This window comes from Homo sapiens, chromosome 12 (genome assembly GCF_000001405.40).
Source record: "Homo sapiens chromosome 12, GRCh38.p14 Primary Assembly".
Taxonomy (NCBI): domain Eukaryota; kingdom Metazoa; phylum Chordata; class Mammalia; order Primates; family Hominidae; genus Homo; species Homo sapiens.
In genome coordinates this window covers 51,586,255-51,609,990 of record NC_000012.12, presented here as the reverse complement: position 1 = coordinate 51,609,990, position 23,736 = coordinate 51,586,255, and the positions used below count along the sequence as shown (strand labels likewise).

Sequence of the window (23,736 nt, the reverse complement as noted above, 5' to 3'; positions counted from 1 at the left end):
TTTTATTGTATTTTTTTTATTATACTTTAAGTTTTAGGGTACATGTGCACAACGTGCAGGTTTGTTACATATGTATACATGTGCCATGTTGGTGTGCTGCACCCACTAACTCTTCATTTAACATTAGGTATATCTCCTAATGCTATCCCTCCCCCCTCCCCCCTCCCCACACCCCACAACAGGCCCCGGTGTATGATGTTCCCCTTCCTGTGTCCATGTGTTCTCATTGTTCAATTCCCACCTATGAGTATTTTTGTATTTTTAGTAGAGGCGGGGTTTTGCCATGTTGGCCAGGCTCATCTCGAACTCCTGACCTCAGGTGATCTGTCTGCCTCTGCCTCCCAAAGTGCTGGGATTACAGGCGTGAGCCACTGCCCCCAGCCTAGGGGTAGCTATTCTTATATCAGACAAAACAAACTTTAAAGCAACAGCAGTTAAAAGAGACAAAGAGGGACATTATAAAATGGTAAAAGGCCTTGTCCAACAGGAAACTATCACAATCCTAAACATATATGCATCTAACACTGGAGCTCCCAAATTTATAAAACAATTACTAATAGACCTAATAAATGAGACAGCAACACAATAATAGTGGGGGACTTCAATACTAACGGCACTACACAGGTCATCAAGACAGAAAGTCAACAAAGAAACAACAGATTTAACTACAAATCCATTTAACAAGGGATTTAAACTATGAATCCATTTAACAACGGATTTAAACAATACCTTGGAATAAATGGACTTAACAGATACATTCAGAACATTTCATCCAACAACCACAGAATACACATTCTATTCAACAATGTATAGAACTTCCTCCAAGAGAGACCATATGATGGGCCATAAAACAAGTCTCAATAAATTTAAGAAAACTGAAATTGTATCAAGCACTCTCTCAGACCACAGTGGAATAAAACTAGAAATCAACTCCAAAAGAAACCTTCAAAACCATGCAAATACATAGAAGTTAAGTAACCTGCTTCTGAATCAGCATTGAGTCAAAAACAAAATCAAGATGGAAATTTAAAAATTCTTCAAACTGAACGACAGTAATGACACAAACTATCAAAACCTCTGGGATACAGCAAAGGTGGTGCTAAGAGGAAAGTTCACGGCCCTAAACGCCTACATCAAAAAGACTGTAAGAGCATAAACTGACATCTAAGGTCACACCTCAAGGAACTAGAGAAACAAGAACAAATCAAACCCAAATACAGCAGATGAAAGGAAATAACCAAAATCAGAGCAGAACTAAATGAAATTGAAACAAAAAAAATACAAAAATGAAACAAAAAGCTGGTTCTTTCAAAGGATAAATAAAATTGATAGACCTTTTAGCAAGATTAGCCTAGAAGAGAGGAGAGAAAATCCAAATAACCTCAATAAGAAACAAAACTGGAGGTATTACAACTGATATCACTGAAATACAAAAGATCATTCAAGGCTACTATGAACACTTTTACGCACATAAACTAGAAAACCTAAAAGAGATGGATCAATTGCTGGAAAAATACAACCCTCCTAGCTTAAATCAGGAAGAATTAGGATACCCTGAACAGACCAATAACAAGCAGCAAGACTGAAACAGTAATTTAAAAATTACCAATAAAAAAAAAGTCCAGGACCAGAAGGATTCACAGCAGAATTCTACCAGACATTGAAAGAAAAATTGGTACCAGGCCAGGCGCGGTGGCTCACGCCTGTAATCCCAGCACTTTCGGAGGCCGAGGCGGGTGGATCACAAGGTCAGGAGATGGAGACCATGGTGAAACCCCGTCTCTACTAAAAATACAAAAAAAATTAGCCGGGCACGGTGGTGGGCGCCTGTAGCCCCAGCTACTCAGGAGGCTGAGGCAGGAGAATGGTGTGAACCCGGGAGGCGGAGCTTGCAGTGAGCCGAGATCACGCCACTGCACTCCAGCCTGGGCGACAGAGCAAGACTCCATCTCAAAAAAAAAAAAAAAAAGGAAAAAGAAAAATTGGTACCAATCCTTTTGACACTATTCCTCAAGACAGAGAAAGAAGGAACCCTCCCTAATTCATTCTATGAAGCCAGCATCACCCTAATACCAAAACCAGAAAAGGACATAACCAAAAAAGAAAACTATAGACAGATATCCTTGATGAATACAGATGCTAAAATCCTTCACAAAATATTAGCTAACCAAATCCAACAACATACCAAAAAGATAATCCACCATGATCAAGTGGGTTTCATATCAAGGATGCAGGGATGGCTTAACATATGGAAGTCAATAAATGTGATACAGCACATAAACAGAATTAAAAACAAAAATCACATGATCATCTCAACAGATGCAGAAAAAGCATTCGACAAAATGCAGCATCGCTTTATGATCCCTCTCAGCAAAATCGGCATACAAGGGACAGACCTCAATGTAATAAAAGCCATCTATGACAAACTGACAGCCAACACAATACTGAATGGGGAAAAGTTGAACGCATTCCCTCTGAGAACTGGAACAAGAAGACAAGGATGCCTACTCTCACCACTTGTCTTCAACATAGTACTGGAAGTCCTAGCCAGAGCAATCAGAGAAGAGAAAGAAATAAAGGACATCCAAATCAGTAAAGAGGAAGTGAAACTGTCACTATTTGCTGACGATATGATCATTTACCTTGAAAACCCTAAAGACTCCTCCAGAAAGCTCCAAGAACTGATAAAAGAATTCAACAAAGTTTCCAGATACAAGATTAATGTATGCAAATCAGTAACTCTTCTATACACCAACAGCAACCAAGCAGAGAATCAAATCAAGAACTAAACCCCGGCCAGGCAAGGTGGCTCACGCCTGTAATCCCAGAACTTTGGGAGGCCAAGGTGGGTGGATTATCTGAGGTCAGGAGTTCAAGACCAGCCTGGCCAACATGGTGAAACCCCATCTCTACTGCAAATACAAAAATAGCCAGGTGTGGTGGCATACCCCTGTAATCCCAGCTACTTGGGAGGCTGAGGCAGGAGAATTGCTTGAGCCCGGGAGGCAGAGGTTGCAGTGAGCTGAGATCGTGCCACTGAACTCCAGCCTGGCCGACAGAGCAAGACTCTGTCTCAAAAAAAAAAATAAATAAATAAATATATATAAAAACTCAACCCCTCTTACAATAGCCACAAAATAAAATAAAATAAAATAAAATAAAATACTTAGGAATATACCTAACCAAGGAGTCAAAAGACCTCTACAAAGAAAACTACAAAACTGCTGAAAGAAATCATAGACGACACAAATAAATGGAAACACATCCCATGCTCATGGATGGGTACAATCAATATTGTGAAAATGACCACACAGCCAAAACCAATCTACAAATGCAATGCAATCCCCACAAAAATGCCACCATCACTCTTCTCGGAATTAGAAAAACAATTCTAAAATTCATATGGAACCAAAAAAGAGCCCACATAGCCAAAGCAAGACTAAGCAAAAAGAACAAATCTGGAGGCATCATACTACCTGATTTCAAACTATACTATAAGGCCATAGTCACCAAAACAGTGTGGTACTGGTATAAAAATAGGCACATAGACCAACGGAACAGAATAGAGAACCCAGAAGTAAACTCAAATACTTACAGCCAACTGATCTTCAACAAAGGAAACAAAAACGTAAGCGGGGAATAGACACCCTTTTCAACAAATGGTGCTGGGATAATTGGCTAGCCACATGTAGGAGAATGAAATTGGATCCTCATCTCTCACCTTATACAAAAATCAACTCAAGATGGATTAAGGACTTAAATCTAAAACCTGAAACTATAAAAATTCTAGAAGATAACAATGAAAAACCCTTCTAGACATTGGCTTAGGCAAGGATTTCATGGCCAAGAACCCAAAAGCAAATGCAATAAAAACAAAGATAATAGTTGGGGCTTAATTAAACTAAAAGCTTTTGCACGGCACAAGGAAGTCAGCAGAGTAAACAGACAACCCACAGAGGAGAAAATCTTGACAATCTATATATCTGAAAAAGGACTAATAACCAGAATCTACAATGAACTCAAACAAATCAGTAAGAAAAAAAACAAACAATCCCATCAAAAAGTGGGCTAAGGACATGAACAGACAATTCTCAAAAGAAGATATACAAATGGCCAACAAATATATGAAAAAATGCTCAACATCACTAATGATCAGGGAAATGGGAACCAAAACCACAATGCAATACCACCTTACTCCTGAAAGAATGGCCATAATCAAATAATCAAAAAACAGTAGATGTTGGTGTGGATGCAGTGAACAGGGAACACTTCTACATTGCTGGTGGGAACGTAAACTAGTACAGCTGCTATGGAAAACAGTGTGGAGATTCCTTAAAAAACTAAAAGTAGAACTACCATTTGGTCCAGCAATCCCACTACTGGGTATCCACCCAGAGGAAAAGAAGTCATTATATGAAAAAGATACTTGCACACACATGTTTATAGCAGCACAATTCACAACTGCAACATTGTGGAACTAACCCAAATGCCCATTAATCAACAAGTGGATAAAGAAACTGTGGTGTATATATGATGGAATACTACTCAGCCATAAAAAGGAATGAATTAACGGCATTTGCAATGACCTAGATGAGATTGGAGACTATTATTCTAAGTGAAGTAACTCAGGAATGGAAAACCAAACATCATGTGTTCTCACTGATAGGTGGGAGCTAAGCTATGAGGATGAAAAGGCCTAAGAATGATACAGTGGACTTTGGGGAAGAAGGCAGGGGATAAAAGACTACAAATATGGTGCAGTGTGTACTGCTCAGGTGATGGGTACACCAAAATCTCACATATCACCACTAAAGAACTTACTGATGTAACCAAATACCACCTGTACCCCAATAACTTATGGGGAAAGAAAAGAAAGCTATGACAATAGAATAGCTAAATTAGGAACATGAAAAACTCGTATTTAAAACTCTGAGTACATATGGAAAGGAAGAGGGGAACAACAGACACCTGGGCCTACTTTAGGGTGGACGTTAGGAGGAGGGTGAGAAACAAAAAAACACCCATCAGGTACTATGCTTATAACCTGGGTGACAAAATAATCTGTATGCTAAACCCCAGTGATATGTAATCTATCTATACAACAAACCTGCACATGTACCCCCAAACCTAAAATAAAAGCTAAAAAAAAAAACACTGGAGCCTGGTACAGTGGCTCATGCCTGTAATCCCAGCACTTTGGGAGGCCAAGGCAGCGGATCACCTGAGATCAGGAGTTTGAGACCAGCCTGACCAACATGGAGAAACCCCATCTCTACTAAAAAAGAAAAATACAAAATTAGCCAGGTGTGGTGGCGCATGCCTGTAATCCCAGCTACTTCTGAGGCTGAGGCAGGAGAATTGCTTGAAGGGGAGGCGGAGGTTGCGGTGAGCTGAGATCGTGACATGCACTCCAGCCTGGGCAACAAGAGCGAAACTCCATCTCTAAAGAAAACCAAACAAAACGAAACAAAAACCCGTTAAAAAAACAAAAAACAAACAAACAAACAAACAAAAAAACCTGGGGAAAAAAGAGACCGTGTGGTATTGAGGAAGGCGCAGACACACATACAGACTGATGGAACAGAAGAGAGAGCCCAGAAATAAACCCACATAAATACAGGCAATTGACTTTTGACAAAAGTCCAAAATCAATTCAGGAGAAAGACAGTCTTTTGAACAACAATGGTGCTCAAACAGTTAACTGCACATCTATTAGCAAAAAAATAAAAATAAACCTAGGCCTAAATCTCATATCTAATACACAGATTAACTTGAATGGATCACAGATCTAAAGGTAAAATGTAAAACTACACAAAATTTTTAACAGAAAACCAAGAACATCTTGAATTTGACAAAGAGTTCTTATATATGACATCAAAAACGTGACCCATAAATGAAAAAAATTGACAAATTGGACTAAATCAAAATTTAAAACTTTAGCTCTATAAAAACACTATTAAGAAAAGCTAAGCTAAAGAGTGGGAGAAAATATGCCCATGTAAGTTATCTGATAAAGATATCTGTTTTGATATCTCAAAAACAACATTTTTAAAAACAAAAATCTCAAAACTCATAGTAAGAATACAAACAATCCAATTTTTTTTAATGGGCAAAACATTTCAACAGACACTTCACAAAGATACACAGAGAGCACATGAAAAGATATTAGACATCATTAGCCATTACAGAAATGCAAACTGAAATCACAATGAGATACCACTACACACCTATTAGAATGGCTAAGATAAAAAAAAAAAAATTTAAACCTGACAATTCCAAGTGCCAATGAGGATACAGAGCACCTGAACTCGCATATGCTGCTGAACTCTCATACACTGCTGTTGGGAATGCGAAATGGTACAACCATTCTGAAAAACAGTTGTTAGTTGCTTATAAAGGTAAACATACACTTACTATATTACCCAGCAATCCTACTCTTAGGGATCAGCTTTGAGAAATATGAAGGTAGGGTCACACAAAAACCTGTACATGAATGTTTGCAGAAGTACTATTCATAATCACCAGAAACTGGACATATTCCAAATGTTCTTCAACAGACGAACAGGTTGACAAACTGTTATATACAATGTATATGCATTGGAACAGTTACATACAATACTACTCAGCAATAAAAAAGAACAATTGAAAAATACAACAACATGGTTAAATCTCCAAAGTATTATGCTCAGCAAAAGAAGTCAGTCTCAAAGGGTTATATAGTGTAGTATGATTCTACTTTTATGACATTCTGGAAAAGGTAACACCACAGGAATGGAGAACCAATCAGGTTTCCAGGGGCTGGGGATTAGGGAAAGTTTGACTGCAAAGGAACAGCAGGAGGGAGTATTTTGGGGTAATGGAACTGTTCTGTATCCTGATTGTGGCACGGTTACATGAACCTATACATGTGTAAAAATTCAGAGCTGTACACCAAGATTTGTTTCAATTTTACTGTTTGTAAAATTTTAAAAATAAGAAAAAATAAAACAAAAGCTGTTTAAAATGTTAAAAGGGAAAAATGAAATACTATCTTGGGTAGATTAAGAAGAAAAAAAGGAAAATAATATTTGCCATTCATGAGCTAGAACTTCAAAATCTTTTCAAATATTAGTTTTATTGAGCTTATTCTTGTGAAGAAAGTAGTGGTTTATTTGGCTGTAATACTCTAATAGGAATAGGTCTCCCACTAGGAAAGAGTACCCTGCTCATCCCAGGGGAACTGTGTATTGGCCCAAAGCCACACTAGAAAGCAGGGTTTCTGGTCCCTATATTTTGGCCATAAAAACACCACATACCCTCTTGTCCAAAATCTGGACTAGCATCCATACTCTATTTTTTGTTTTATATTGATTGATTGATTGATTGATTGTGGTAAAATATACATAAAATTTACCATCTTAACCGTTTTTTAAGTATACAAGTATGTAACATTAAGTACATGCATTGTGGTACAACCATTATCACTACAAATCTCCAGAACAATCTCATTTTCTCAAGCTGAAACTCTGTACTCCTTAACCAGTAGCTCTCCACTACCCGTTTCTCACAACCCTTGATAGCCACTATTCTACTTTCTGTCTGTGAATTTGACTATTCTAGGTAACTCACATAAGTGGAATTATACAATGTTTGGCCTTCTGTGTTACAAACTTACTCAAATTTTTACCTTTGCTTTATTTTTAATTGACACATAATAACTATACATATTTATGGGGTACATAGTGATGTTTCAATTCATATATAGTGATCAGATCAGGGTAATTCGCATATCCATAATCTCAAACATTTATCATTCCTGTGTTGAGCACCAATACTCTGAACTCTACAGATCCACACTGGATTTTTCTTAATACTACCAAAGTCAGCATTCAATTCCCACAAATAACAGTTCTTTCTAGGTTCTAGGATTAAACTGTGGAAGGAAAAAACAAAAAAACTGGAAAGGCCTGACCACTCAACATCCATATAAACAGAAGCAATGCCTATAAGGAGCTAATGGTTCTAGAATCCTGGCTAGAAAAAAAACATACACACTCCTTCCTCTCTGGGAATGAGTTTTTTTCTTGAGATTTTGCAACAGATTGCATTGAGTATTAAATGCATTGCTCTTAAAAAAAAAAAAAAAAAAAAAAAAACCCTTTCTCTGAGCACCACCCTTGGCAAAGGTAGGGCTCCAGGGTAGAGCCCAAGTGGGGCATGTAAGTGACATCCCCATTTGACTGCTGAGCCTCACCACTGGAACCAGCAAGGCAGCCTGTGGAGAAGTGCGAGGTGAAAGACAAGGCAACTGGCTAGGAACAAAGCACATCAGCCCCCAAGGGTCAGACTTTAATTTTAATCTAATTAAAATTAAAATGGAAAACATATCTAATTAATAGCAAATCTTTGATATCCACTCATAACACAAAGATGAATTTATTTTCTTTGACCTATAAAGCTTTTGAGCAATTTCTAATGCCAGAAGTCTACCTTAAGATCCCAAAATAAGTCTTACCCCTTGGGCACTTATGGGTGAAGTTTCCTGCATGAGTCAGGAAAAAAAAAAAAAAGGCCTTGTTAGGTAAGTGAAACATTCATATGATCACTGTACTTTGTTTCCCTACTACACTTCTTAATCATTCAGTCTGTGCACTTAGTAAAACCCTTCTTGGGTTTTACACAACCCTCTCCTGCATTTCTAGAGACAAGGAAGAAGAAATACTACAAACAAAAAGATGGTTAAGAAATAAGAAAAATCTATAGATCTACTAAAATATTACTTGCATGAGAACATCCAGATGAATAAAACAGATTGCCATCATTCAGTTAAGTGGTGTTTATGGACTTTCCTCATCCCAGGCTACCTTAAGAATGCCTTTCCAAGAGACTATTGTATAACAGTTCTTAATTACTGTTACTTTGAGCATTCAAACTAGGAGAAAGGTATGCACTTATAATGGGATTGCACAGAGAATCTCCTAATAGAATTACTGTAAGGGTAATTTGGGTAATACCCTAAATAGAGTGCTAAATTTATTAACATCTTGTACATGAACTGTGCCTGCTCTACTGGTTCCACAGCAAACCATGGGGACTTCTGCCAAATGTCTGAGTGCAAACTGTGGTAAATGTAATGGAATTTGCAAGAACTCAGTAACTTTCGTGGTGAGAAGAAATATAATTTTAACAAATTAAATGAGATTTAAAAATTGCATTAAATTTCTAATTTTTTTTCTCTTGGTGTATTCTATTATTTTGATGTCCATGTTCTGATAATCTAGTAACCCTTTATTTTTTCTCATTCAATGATCATTTCTGACGAGAAAGGGCAGTAGCAGAACCCAAGCTCCCTGAGTTCTGCCTTTGCTCTAAGTTACCACTGTATACTCAAGTTGTACGTTAGGGCCCTCTGGCCACCGTCTTGTACCCCAGCTATACCAAGAAGATCATGCAAGTCAAGTCTGACATTTTTCATACACGGCCTAAGATTCAGTACCTGAAACAGAAAGCAACATCACTGGCTGATAAGGCCTTTTCTTTCCCTCTGCTTTCACCTACTAAAATCCTTTCAGTTACTACCTTTAACTCAGCCTGCAATTTCAAATAGTATGGCTGTCATGAAGCACATGGGATATAAACAAACAATCAAAAAATCAAATATACTGAGTTTCGGTAAGGACAAAAGAGTCATTTACCAAGTCTATAAAAAGGTATAGAATTCTTGTTCCTTTATCCTCCAAACTGAAGGTGAGTTGAGAATGCCAACGAAAATGACAAGTTAAGTGTCTATGAATGGACAGAATGTAAAACTCCAAAACAAGGGTAGAGACCCACAAACGAAGATTAAATAATCTTTATCAGTGAGAGCTTAGATAATAAAGTTCAGAAGATTCAAGTTTTCCTACAAGAAATAACATTAAAAGCTCAAGAAAACCCTCTGCAGAGAAACAATTAGAAAATTAGAAATAAAGACAGCTTGTTAACCAAAATGCTATGGACCAGACTACCATGGATTACAGAACATACTTCCCCAGATTTTCAAAATAGGAGACTCTCTATCTCTAATCTTTAAAACAGTAAAATAATCTTTATTCCCTCTCCCTTTTCTCCCATGTAAAGTCATTCACTGAGTTCTACTGAGTCTTCCTATAAACTATTTCTAACATTAGAAAAACGTTAAACACACACATTCATGTAACACACATATACAAAGTTATATTTACTTTCCTTCCTTCCCATCCTTATAACCACTACACTACTCCAACCCTTCATCACTACACAGCTGGGACAAATCAAAGAGCCAACTAAGTGGATGTCCATTCCTTGCTCTATTCCATCCAATTAGACACTGCTGCCCAATATTCCTAAAACACTACAGTATAGCTTTGATCATCTGTCATTCTATACTCTCTAAATTCTACATTCTCCATGTTATGAATGAAACTTCAAAAAGTCCTTAATATTTGGCTAACTCTATCCTATCTTTGCAGGCTTATCTGCCACAAGGAGATTCTCACTGCTCCCCCAAAACACTTTGTACATTCTTGCCTTCTCACTTTGGCTCACACTGTTCTACCCAACCATTCTGTAAAGCCCAGCTCAAATCATGCTTCTTCCATCAACCTGTCTCTAATCATACCAACTTGAAATGCTCTCTCTTTCCTAAAAAATCAATTTATTAACTATACCATTTATTTAGCAATAAATCCTTTCCAACTTTTTAATCATCAACCATTATGAAAATCTTTTCTTATTTAACATTTTGTGTTTATGACTTATTTCACAAAATAAATAAGCTCCTAGAACATAAGGTCTATCTTTTATATATCCCATAGTTGCTACTCGCTAAATATTTGTTGACTGATGTGGTCAAGCAGGCGATTTAGAATTCACTCATAGACAGCAATGAACCAATAGTTCTCAAGGTTATGTCTCCCCCTGCACTTTTATTTTTAACAGGTAATTCTATAAGGAAAACCCTAAAAGCAATGTAGGTTAGTAGGAAAGGCTGCTTCAGCCCAAACTAACTTGCACATTAAATAAGCCAAGAAATTAGAATATAAATTTTACTAAGAAAAATAAAACAGAGGCATTATGTATTTCTTAAGGAAAAGGGGTAACTAACTGATCTAAGATGATCTAGAATGAGAATCCAAATCCTCAAATTATTTTAAGTCTTCCTTAAAAGACAATGGAACTAACTGTGAGGAGCAGGGGGAGACAATATGTATATGTGCATGTATGTATGCAGGAAGCATTACAAGAGAAATTAGTAACAGTAATTGCTATTATGGAGTGCATACTGCATGACTGGGAGACAGTAAAAGAAGACTTAACTTCGAACTTTTTGATTTTTGAATTTTGTGCCTCTGTTAAATATTCAAACAAACATTTCAAGACAATGGAAGAGAAACTGTCAACAGAGCCTTCTGAGAAAATGTTTTTGTATTAAATGACTAAAAATCAAGAGGAAATGAAAGAAACGTTTAAGAATATTACATTTTTTTCCATAAAGCAAGAAAATATTCTCCAGTTTTCTCAATGCAGAGATCAGATAAAGAAAGCAATTTGCAGCAAAGTTCTAGCAGAGCTAAGAATAAAATAAAACTAAACAACAACAACAAAAACCACCTTCCCAAGGTTCTGTGCCCTGTCCAGCAGATGAGGATCTGGTTCAGTAATACGGAGGTGTACCCAAAGGAATTGTTGGAGGGGAGTGAATACCTACTCTTAAAATATGAGCAGTTCCCCACGTTCACATCCAAATCCCCTTGCCCATTTTCACTCTGTCATTCACCTTCTTTTGCTTTCTCCCTATGATGATTCGTCACACTCCAAACACTTTCTTCCCTCCCTATCACAATACTCATCTTAAAAAATGACTAATTATCTTCAAGACATCTTTCCTACAAACAAGGCATTATGCCTCTTTAGAGTATTCACCAAATCACAGGAAATCCAATTGAGAAATCTGTAGCAAATGTGATTTCTGGGTATTCTGACCTCTGAGAATGCCCTATCAGTCTCATTTGCAACCTGCTTGATTTTTTTCCTGCAATTTAATAATGCATTAATTTTTTTCACTTAAAAGCATTCAGCTTCCTGCTAAGACAAAAAAACAGTAGTGAATGTAACACAAAAGCCTGTTGCATTATCCTTAATTGAGGAATTAATCCTGAAACAAGGAGCTAAATATATAATAAATTAAGCCCTACTTGTTTACAGGGTTGTTGCTCACTAAAATGAAAGAAAAATGCTATTTACACCAGCTTGCAGTGGACATTAAACTTGTAGAGGCTCAGCCTTCAACTGTCTATACTATTAAAATAAGGAGAGAAGAACAGATTAAATATGAGGTGTTTTTTCATTGACAAAGTAGTTGCCATCTCTTCCTTTATCAATCATTATCTAAAAAGTAAAAGTAACATTTTAATTTTGACTTTTTCTCCCTTCCCAAGTTCACGCTGGTAGAAATGCTAATGATCAGTTAAGTGCTCATAATGGAGGAAAAAGGAGAAAAATAAATAACTGTATAATTCACAAGCTTGATGATCCATCCCTGGATAAGTAAGCATCCACTATTTCTCTAGCATTCTTACTCCCCAGGAACCCCCAAAAATTTATAGCACAAAAAACTACACTAATCAGCTGAATATGAAAGGAGCCTGTGAATGTGCCTTTTGAGGGAGTTCAGTGCTTTCCACTTCCAGATCCTGGGACATGCCCAGTGAATACAGGATGCCTACCATCAATAGTGAATATAAAGTGATCCAAATCTCTCCATCGCCTATTTTAGTCAACCCACCCCAATCAACTCCTTCCAGGATCAAGAGAGCTTCAGCACCAAACTAAAAGTACCTCTTAGACCCTCAGGCTTCTGGCTTTTATTTCATTCTATTCTCCTCAGTATGACACATCTCCATACACCCAAGGAAAATCTTAACTATTAGCCTCTCCAACCTTTGTACTACTTCTAGCCCAAAGTCCTCCCAGAACTTCTTTGGCCCCAACTTGCTGCCCGTACCCATCACCAATCCCCAGCATATTCTGTTCTCTGAGTCTCACACCAGTTTCAGCCTTGCATAAGCAAAGAAGTCCAGGTAACAATGGTCATAATTCCCTACAGTCCTGGTTACAACCTAGGTTGGCAATGGGAGAGATTTCATGAATAGCCAAGTATATGTGTTTACATGCAAGAGACACGGATGAAAGATAAGCAGACACCAAGATATGACCTTTTTAAAAGTAGCTAGGATAGCCACAGAAGGAACACAAGTGTGTTACTTTGGTGCCTCCTGTTTTCATCCATATTCTACTTATTGATACATCCTCTGTTAATTTCCCCTCATCCTTCCTGCTTCCAAAATGCTTTCCTTCAAAGGCACTTTTGCCCTCCCTCTGTCTATCCCAGAATCTTTCATTATACCCACTCACTAAGATATGTTTAGCTACCTAAGCTAATAATATCTTAAAATAAAACCAAAATTGTTCACATTACTTGGTTATATGAACATCAGAATATAACACCATTTAACAGAAAGAAGTCACTAAACATGAGTCGACCAACCTAGGTACCAGTCTCCACTACACCAGTTAGATAGTCCTTAGCTTGGACAACTTCCTTCATTAAGCTCTTCGATACTCAGTTTCTTCAGCTATAAAGTGGGTAGGATATTTGCTTTACCTCCTTCTCAATCGACTGATAGAAGGATTTTGAAAGTTTTTATAAATAGACAAACACAGAGTAACATTTACCAAAGGTGGCAGGTCACCTATGAGACCCATTCAAATAAAGCAGTTCAAAGACTATACAGTGGGGAAACCTAAAATGGTGCTGAAGACAAAACCAACTCCAAACATGTATAATCACTTACCACAATGTAAAAATCCAGCTCAAGTCAGCATAAAGGCAGGCCTCAGCCTTTGAGTCCATTTCACCTTCAGATCCCAGGCTACAGCTAAAAACAGCCCAGCTGGAGAGTGCCAAAGCATTCCTTTTGGGTAAAGAGTCCTATTCTAGTGTAGTTTGGGAATGGACAAGGCAAGAGGTACTTTGGTAACCACATTTGCACTGTGTTGGTGGAAGCCAGCAGAGCAATTGTACAGTAAAACTTTTCTTAGCAATGTCCATCCAAGTTAGGGTACCTACGGGTTCCATCCTCTATGCCAGACTGAAGATAAAGCATCCGTCTGCTTTTCAGACTACTGAAATTCAATACAGTACATATATACTACGTCAAATACATACATAAATACACATTAAGCTGCTAAATCCCTAGAGGCAAGGGGGCTAATATATATTAAGCACTATGTGTCAGAAACCATAAGGAAACAGAGATTTCATTTAATCCCCACAAATACCCTGCAACGTAGGTATTATTATTCCCACTTTTATAGATAGGAACACTGAAGCTCCAATAGATTAAATAACTTGCCCAAGGTCACAAAGCCAATACATAGCAGAGTCGGGATTTGAATCTAGTTTTGTCTGATTCCAAAGCCCATACTGCTTCTGACATTTTCTTCTCAATAGTGTAACTATAGCAACCTTCTTGGGTTTTCATTTCACCTTAATCTCTAACATAGTACTTAAATATGTGTCCTGGCTGTGTCTCCATAACTTCACAAAGGGATAATTTTTCCAGAAACCTTCTCCTTTGTCTTTTGACTGCATTTACTTCCCATTCTTGCACAAACTATTCTTTTTTAGGTTAAATCACTGGGCTGGCCCTAACAGACTGCCATACATTTCCGCAATTAATAAACTTACAGGGTAAGAGTTCTGTTTCCTTCGACACCTTAATAGCCACAGTTTTTGAGCACAGTATTATTTTTTAAGCGGGTGCTCGCCAGCTTAGAGAGGCATTGTACTAGTGTTCAGTTCAGTGCCTTATATATAGTAGGTGCAGAGTGAGACTATTTGTTGATTCATTGATTAAGAAAAGGTTTATTGATTCCTCAGTTAATGTGCTAAATATAAACAAACAGACTTTACGAGTGAAGTCCAATTCTATGAGTGAATTCTTTCACATTACAGTTTTTTTTGGAACATTTCTAAAGGATTAAGAAAAAGGTAAATTGAGATACAACAATCTGTTTAAGTCCCTAAATGACTAGCAAGTGAACTATAAAATTAAGAGCTTAAAGGGCTCAGTTTTAAAATACTATCATTCTGGATAACTTTACAAGCGCTTCTTTCCCTCTCTATGGGAAAAAAAAAGACTGGAAAAACATAATAAAACACAGATAATTGTTTTGCTTATGGTAGAAGCAAAGATGGTAAGGATGGTAAAACTAAGGATGACTTTTTCCCTGTTTTTACATATATTAAAATTTTTCTGCAATAAGTATGTATTTTTATAATTATGGTAACTGATCTCACTCTGGATATACTTTGGATTTTTAACGCTTTCTATATAGTATAGCTTTAGTGTCCTTAGACATAATCCATAGGAATTAAATATTCATTAATTCAAGCATGTGCCTTCTAGAACAATTTGTTACATAATACCAGCACATTAAAGATAATTATTTTTCTTTCCATTCACAGAATGTTTTTCTTGCTTTAGGTGGACATGTCTCTATTTTTGCATTCTTTTCAAGTAAGTGCAAGTTTCTTGTATGTTCTCTACAGAAAAATGGTTCTCAATCTTTTCTTGGAAACAAGCACAAGAATGGCATTTACCCCGATATAGCTCCAATTTATATGTCTTTCAACTTTATGTATATTACCTTTTCAATGAGATTAAAATACTTTGATCACAGTGGAATCCAAATGGAATGAGCTACGTTATGTGGCAGTAAGTTCCCTACCAACGGATGTATTCAAAGCAAAGATCTCCCATAAAGGAGATTCCTGTATTGGGTGGGAGGTGGTACCATGTGAATTTTATGGCCTCCTTCCTATTTTATGATTTTAAAATAGTTTTTTGGATAAATCGACTTTAGTAATACTGACCTCTGCTGTGTCAAGTGCCTTTCCCAGTTCACTATTCAAATCAACCCACAGAAGACGCTCTCCTGATCCAGTTTAATTTAGCCAGCTATCGGATTACTTCCTGTGGAGACCAAGAATATTAACAGTTGCTTGCTATTTGAAATGACTGAAGTGTGCTGAAATAATGCAGTCAGCAAAATGTCACTTATGGCTTACATATGGATCTGTTGCAGCCTGTAAAACATTGTCTCCATGAGGGACAGCCAAAATGAAGAGTTATGTGGGAGTAATAAAATATGATAACTAGGCCTCAACCTCAAGTACAAACCCAGCTGCGCATGTACATACACATCCACGAGAAAGCCTGCTGATAATAAAAAGCAAAAAAAAACTCAATCATGTCCAGTGTGTGTGCACTTCGCCGCAGAACTGGTCGGGGAACTGTCCTTTCAGCACCACAGCAAGAAACCTGAATACAAGCCTAAACACAGGCAACCCAAAGCTGGACCAGGAGAAAAAATTCTTAAGGGTCCTACAAGGAAAGCAACAGCAACCGTATGGTTGTTTTTAAGGATGCAGTATTCCACTTGATTATCCTTTATTAATTTAAAACAAAATCCTCCAAAGATTTTGATAAAAGTTGACAAAACCCCAAATGAAAACCAAAGCTGCTCAAACTGAAGCCAAGAAACCAATAACTGATCTGCACCATTATGAACTGCTTTGCAATACCCACCACCAGCTCTACTCAGAAACACAACACATTTACATATACCCTGAATCAGATGTTCAGAGAACACGGAACATGCTTGCAGCCCTCTCCAGGGAGGACCTCAATTTCTAGGACAGGGAATGCGTGCTGAACACCAAAGGATCACTACCCACAACCACCACCTCACCAACCAGCAACCAAATCCTCTTTCAGGGAGAAATGAAGGCCTTATGGGTCATGAGCTCCAAAGAAAAATGCTGCAGTATTTCAAGAACCAGGTTACATGTAATGTGCTATAAAGCTTTCAGCATTTTAAGTCTGATTCCCCCAAGATTCCTACCAGGATGGTACCGTGTGGTAATGTTATCCAGCCATTTGCATCACAAATCAAAAAAAAAATTTTTTTTGAGAAAAGAATAAAAGCACAACATCCCCCCCTCCACATCTTCTAATGCACGTGGAGAAAAGAGAAGTGCAGAGGGATTTTGAGACAGTGAAAAACCTACCACACCCGAAATCTCCATTGGAAAGCTAAAACATCCCCCAGCCCTAACACACTGCTACCTCTCTCTAAAGGCTCTCCAGGTTCAAACTTGGGAAAACAGTTATAAAAAGCACTCTCCCCCTTTACCCCCATGGCCCCCACCCACACTTCCTGCTTCCATCCCTGACTCTCTGGTGCCCACTGTGCATAAAAAGCAGTTTTCCTTGTGTGGCAGAGCTTGCTCCATGCTAATTATTTCTCCCTCCCCCTGACTTTAGCCAGATGCAATCCAAAGTTTCTTCTACCCTCCCCCCAAACAGATGACATCCATTTATTATGAACGCTGATGCAGAACCTTGGAATCTCCGGACATAAAATGTATTCCCTCATGCTTCAAAAACTGCAGTGTAAGTGAGGAAGAGGGCATAGGGTGGAGTAGTCGGATGGAATGCATGGTTTGAAGAATCCTATTTATCGGGCTGAAAAATGGTTCCCATTCCATCCCAACTCGAAGCTGGGGCCCCTGAAAGGGTCTGACAGTCCTGGCTAACCCCTGGAAAGTTAGCCAAGTCTCCACCGGTGGTTGTTGCTGGCAATGGAGGGGATGGAGCTGAGCTCTCAGGAGAAACTGCAGAGGCTTTGCGGTGCCCCAAGGTACCAAGTGAGAACTAGAGAGGAGGGTCCAAGCCCACGGAGCTGGGCAAACAGTCCTGTACCCCAACGCTAACAAGAAGCCAAGGGTGCTGCTGCTGATGGTAAGGTGGGGGAGGGAGAGGAGAGGAACAAGCTCTGCATCGGGTGGCGTGGGGGTGGGGGGTGGGGGTGGGGGTGGGATGGGGGAAGGGGATATTCTCAAAGTGATGTGCTTCCAAATGCAGGAATCCTCGCCTGCCGAGGAAGGTCCCGGGAGCCCCCATCACAACTCCAGAGCACCCTGTTGGGAGGGGGACGAACGCATCCGAGTAAAGGACAGAGGGAGTCGGGAGTGCTGGCTGCGGGAAGAACCCAGGAGCCCTTGGCTTCTGCAGTTTTTAGCAGTGTGAAGCCGGCTGAGGGAGAAGGATGCAGTAAGACATGGGGGAGGGGGAGGGCTGAGGGGCTGCTGTAGGAAGATCCCGACAGCGCTGCCCTTCCCAGTGCAAGCCGGCTAGGGGCCCCAACTCTGCCCGGCACTGAGGGAGGGATGGAGGGCTGCACCGCGGAAGGGGCACCAAGGACGGGCCGTGTCCCTCACTGTAGCCGAGACGGAGAAAGCAGGGTGTCCGGGGTGGGGACTGGTGGTCCTCAGTTCTCTTAAGAGACCCCCGGTACACACAGTAGAAGGAAGCAAGAGTTCCAAACACCTGTCCAAAACAAGGAGAGCAGAGCCCCAGCTCCACGGCCCCTGGAGCCCCGCCGCGCACTCTGCGGCAAAGCCCCTGACTGGAGATGGGCGAGCCCCGCTCAAGGGTCCCGAGGCGAGAAGGGAAACCCGGAGGGCAGGAAGCAGCGCTAGGGCGGGGGCTCTGGGGCGACTTACGGCAGCGGCGGCGGCGAGGGAGGCAGCGGCGGCCCTAACGCGGGGCCCGGGAGGCGCGGCCGGACTGCAAAGGCGCCGAGGATGCGGCGGGCGGGACTGCGGTGGGCGCCATCTTGGAGCGCTCCCCGCGCCCGCCCCCCGCACCGCCCGAGTCCTTGCATAATTGATGACTCGCGCCCGCCGCGCGCCACCGCGCGCGCGCCCCTACTGCCGGGCCCCCCGCCCGCCCCGCCCCCGCGCCTACCCCTCCGCGCGCGCCCCCTGCCCGGGCCGGCCCCGGCCCGCAAGCGCCGCTGCCACCGCCCCCGCCCCCTCCCTGCGCTTCGCGCCCGCCCGCCCGCGCCCCCGCGGCCCACCTACCCCTGCAGGGCGCGCCCGCTCGCCCGCTCGCCTGCAGCGCGCCGCCCGCCCGCAGGCTCTCAGACTCGCGTCTCCGCGCCGCCGGGAGCGGATCAGGGGCAAGAGGGAACAGGGCGCCGGCAGGGGGCGCCGCGCGGGAGCGCCAGCGAGCGTCCCCGGGCCCGCCTCCACTACGCCCCCGCCGAGCCGCCGGGAGGGGCCGCGGGCTGAGGACCGGGACCCGCCGCGAGACGCTGGCTGGCTGCTCGCCAGCGCCGGGCGGCGAGACCCGAAAGCTGTCGTGGTGACCCGCGTGCTCTGTGGCCCGCGTCAGTGCCAAGTCTTACCTTTCTCCTGCCCCCCAACAGTGCCGCGCTCAGTGAAGTTTCTGACATCCAAAAGCGCAGGGAACTCAATTTACAGGATCTTGGGCCCACTGAAAAAACGAGAAGTCAATCAGCGGCAGGTGGAGGCTCGTGTTTCAGCCCACAGGGACCTGCTGCCAGGAGCGGGGAGGCGCTGCCTCCCTGACAGCCCCCAGGCCACCTCAGTCTTTCCGATCCTCAGTCTGTCCATCTGTAAAGTAGGCATGAGCATTTCGACCGCTCACTCCACCCTCGCGAGGATCTAGGTAATGAGTGCCAGAGCTCTTGGCACTTTACTGTGTCTCTCCTCTACTTAATATTTTCCTACCACCAATCACAAGAGGGAAAAAGGGTGTAACAACCTCTCCAAACCTCAGTGTTCTCGTCTGTAAAAGGAAACAGTCACAGTAGCAACCTTATAAACTTCTTGTTTGTACTAACGGGGAGCATGCACTTCACACATTGCTAACACAGCCAGGCACATGGTATGCTTATCACATAATGTGCCCTCTACAATACATTTAAAATTAGCTTTACTGGGGTATATTTGCGTGTGTTTAGATTGTACAATTTTGAGTTATGTGTGCACTCATGAAACCATCACCACCAAGGTAATGAACACACCCATCACCTCCAAAAATTTCTCCGTGTGCTTCTTTGTAATCACTCCCTGCATCGCTCGCCCCCACACACCCTCTCCAGGCAACCACTGATCTTCTTTCTATTACTGTACATTGGTTTGCATTTTCCGGAATTTTAAATAAATGGAATCATACAGTACAAACTCTCTTTTTTGTATGGCTTCTTCCACTCGGCATAATCGTTTTGAGATTATTCAGTCGTTGCCTATCAAGAGTTCTTTTTTACTGCTTAGTAGTATTCTTTATGGGGATACACCACAATGTGTTTATCCAGTCACCTGTTGATGACATTTAGGTTATTTCCAATGTTTGTCCGTTACGAACAAAGCTGTTATGAGCTTTCGTGTGCAGGTCTTTGTATGGATATATATGCTTTCGTTTCTCGTGGGTATAAATATCTAGGAATGGAATAACTGAGTCCTGTCTTAGGTGTATATTTAACATATTAAGAAAGGGCCAAACTGCCTTCCAAAGTGGTTGTGCCTTTCCATTCCTACTAGCAGCACATGAATTTCAGTTGTTCTACATCCTCACCAACATTTGGAGTGATCAGTCTTTTTAATTTTAGCCATTTGAATAGATGTGTAGTTTTATCTCGCTGTGGGTCTGTCGTCCATTTCACTAGTGACTAAAGATGTTGAACATCTTTTCATGGACTTGTCATCTGTAAATCCTCCTGGCGAAGTGTCTCTTCAAGTCTTTAGCCTATTTAAAAATTGGTGGGGTTTTTTCTTGTTAATTGAGTTTTACGAGTTGTTTATATATCCTGGCTGGGCTCAGTGACGCATGCCTGGTGTCCCAGCTACTCTGGACACTGAGCAGGAATAATTGCTTAAACCTAGGATTTCAAGTCCAGCATGGACAACACAGGAGACTCTGATTCTAAAATTTTTTTAAAAAAATTAAAGAGTTGTTTATATATTGTGGATACAAATCTTCTGTCAGACATGTGATTGGCAAATATTGTTTCCCAGTTTAGGCTTATCTTTTTATTCTTTTTACTCTCTTAACAGTGTTTTTCCAAAAGCAGAGGTTCTTCAGCCAGTTGTCCTGGTGCACACTTGTAGTCCCAGCTACTCGGGAGGCTCGGGCAAGAGGATCTCCTGAGGCCAGAAGTTGGAGGCTATAATGTGTTATAATTGGGCCTGTGAATAGCTGCTGCACTCAAGCCTGGCCAACATAGCCAGAACCTGTCTCTTAAAAAAAAAAAAATTAGACCTTCTTAATTTTTATGAAGTTCAGTTTATTATTTTTTCTTCTATGAATCATGCTTTTAATGTCATGTCTAATAAGTTTTTGCCCAACACAAGGCCCCAAATATTTTATCCTATGTTTCCTTCTGGAAATTTTATAGTTCTAGAGTTTACATTTAGGTTTATAATCCATTTTGAATTGATTTTTGTATGTGGTATGAAATGTAGTTTGAAGTTCTTTTGTTGTTTTGTTGCATAGATATATAGTTGTCCCCATACTATTTGTTGAAAACACTATCCTGTCTCCACTGACTACCCTTGCACCTTTGCAAAAAATCGTTTACTCAAGTATGTAAGAATCTAGTTCTAAACTCTCCTTCTGTTTCATTGATATATTTTTCTGTCTTGGCACTAATACCACACTGTCTGGATTACTCTGCCTTTATAATAAATCTTGAAATCAGGTACTTTCAGCCCTTGACTTTGCCCTTCGTTTTCAATATTGATCTTGCTAGTCTAGGTTCTTTGCATTTCCATATGAATTTTAGAATCACCTTGTCAAATTTCAACAAAAATCCACTGAGATTTTGATCAAGATTGCATTGAATCTGTAGATCAACTTGGGAAGAACTTATATCATAACAAAATCAAATTTTTCATTCCATGGACACTTTATTTTAGTCCTTTTTAATTTCAATGTTTTATAGTTTTCAAGATATGGGTCTTGCTCACCTTTCTGGGATTTATTCCTAAATATTTCATATTTTTGATGTTATTGAATGCTATTTTTATATGGCAATTTGATTATTCATTGGTATGGTATAGAAATATAATTATTTTTGTATATTAATCATATGTCTTGAAACTTTGCTAAATTCATTTAATACCTTTAGTAGAGCTTTTTGTAGAGTCATTTAGATTTTCTACTGATAAACATACAATCTGCAAATACACAGTTTTACTTCTTCCTTTCCAATCTAGATGTCGTCGTCGTTGTTTTCCTTGCCTTTATGCACTGGCTAGAACCTCTAATACAATGTTGAATAGAAGTGGTAAGAGCAGACATCTTTGTTTAGTTCCTCATCTTGGGGGAAAACTTTGAATCTTTGGCCTTTAAACATGATGATGGCTGTAGACTTTTTTTTCTAAATACCCTTTGTCATGTTGAGGAAGGAATCTTCTATTCCTATTTGGCTGAGGGGTTTTATCAATAATGGATGTTTAATTTTGTCAATGCTTTTTCTGCATATTTTTTTTTTTTTAGTCTTACATATAGTGGTTAATTTTCAAGTGTTAAACTAAACTCACGTTCCTAGGGTAATGTATTGATCATGACATACTATCTTTTTTATATATTGCTGGCTTTGGTTTGCTAACATTTTGTTAAGAATTAGCACATCTATGTTATGAAGTGCATTGGTCTGTAGTTCTCCTCTAATGCCTTTGTCTAGTCCTGGTATCACAGTAATGCTGGCCTCATAGAAAAGAAAGTATTCCCTTCTCTTCAATTTTCTGGAAGAATTTGTGTAAAATTCATATTACATGTTCCTTAACTGTTTAGTAGAATTGCCTAGTGAAATCATCTGGGCCTGGAGTTTTCTTTGTGGGAAAGTTTTTGGGTTTTGGGTTTCGATTTGTTTTTGTTTTTGTTTTTTTGTTTGTTTCTTTTGGTTTTTTTTATTGTTGTTGTTTTTTGAGATGAAGTTTTCGCTCTTGTTGGCAGGCTGGAGTGCAATGGTGCAATCTTGGCTCACTACAATCTCCGCCTCCCAGTTCAAGCGATTCTCCTGTCTCAGCCTCCCAAGTAGCTGGGACTACAGGTGCCCGCCACCACGCCTGGCTAATTTTTTGTATTTTTAGTAGAGAAGGGGTTCCAGCCAGGCTGGTCTCGAACTCCTGACCTCAGGTAGTCCACCCCTCCCCTTGGCTTCCCAAAGTGCTGGGATTATAGGCGTGAGCCACCGCGCCTGGCCTGTTTTTGTTTTTTTGAAACAGGGTTCTCACTGTGTTGCCCAGGCTGGAGTGCAGTGGTGCCATCACAGCTCACAGCAGCCTCAACCTCCCGGGGTCAAGCGATCCTCCCACCTCAGCTTCCCGAGTAGCTGGGACCACAGGCATGTGCCACCGTGCCTGGCTAAATTTTTTATTATTTACAGAGACAAGTTGTCGCTATGTTGCTCAGGCTGTTCTCAAATGCCTGGGCTCAAGCAGTCCTCCTGCCTCAGCCTCCCAAAATGTTGTGATTACAGGCATGAACCACTGTGCCTGGCTTGAGGGAAAGTTTTTGACTACAAATTTATTGTCTTTAATATAGGGATTTTCAGGTTTTAAATTTCTTATTGGTAGTTTTATCTATCAAGGAATTTGTCTATTTTATTTATATGGGCATAAAGGTGTTCATAAAATTCCTGTATTATTCTTTTACTATCTATACAATTTGTAGTAATGTCGCCTCTCTCATTCCTGATATTGGTCATTTGTATTCTCTCTCTCTCTCTCTTTCTCTCTCTCTCTCTCTCTCTCTCTTCCCCCTCTCTCAGTTAGTCTGGCTAAAGTTTAATCAACTT

The 23,736-nt window shown here is 40.3% G+C and overlaps 1 protein-coding gene across 4 annotated transcripts in view, besides 1 other annotated feature; it reads right to left on the bottom strand.

The window, feature by feature from the left end:
* The window catches only part of SCN8A (sodium voltage-gated channel alpha subunit 8), a 221,632-nt gene extending 202,874 nt beyond the window's left edge, over positions 1 to 18,758 (bottom strand). For all 4 annotated transcript variants that reach the window (NM_014191.4, NM_001177984.3, NM_001330260.2 and 1 more), the window contains exon 1: positions 18,632 to 18,758. The gene's annotated coding sequence lies outside the window, so the exon portion shown is untranslated. The remainder of the gene's footprint in view (positions 1 to 18,631) is intronic.
* Positions 19,006 to 19,255: a silencer, noted in NCBI's record as "silent region_4472". NCBI's record gives its function as "represses an Ori minimal core promoter by ATAC-STARR-seq in GM12878 lymphoblastoid cells {active_cell/tissue: GM12878}" and the evidence as "EXISTENCE:reporter gene assay evidence [ECO:0000049][PMID:35858748]".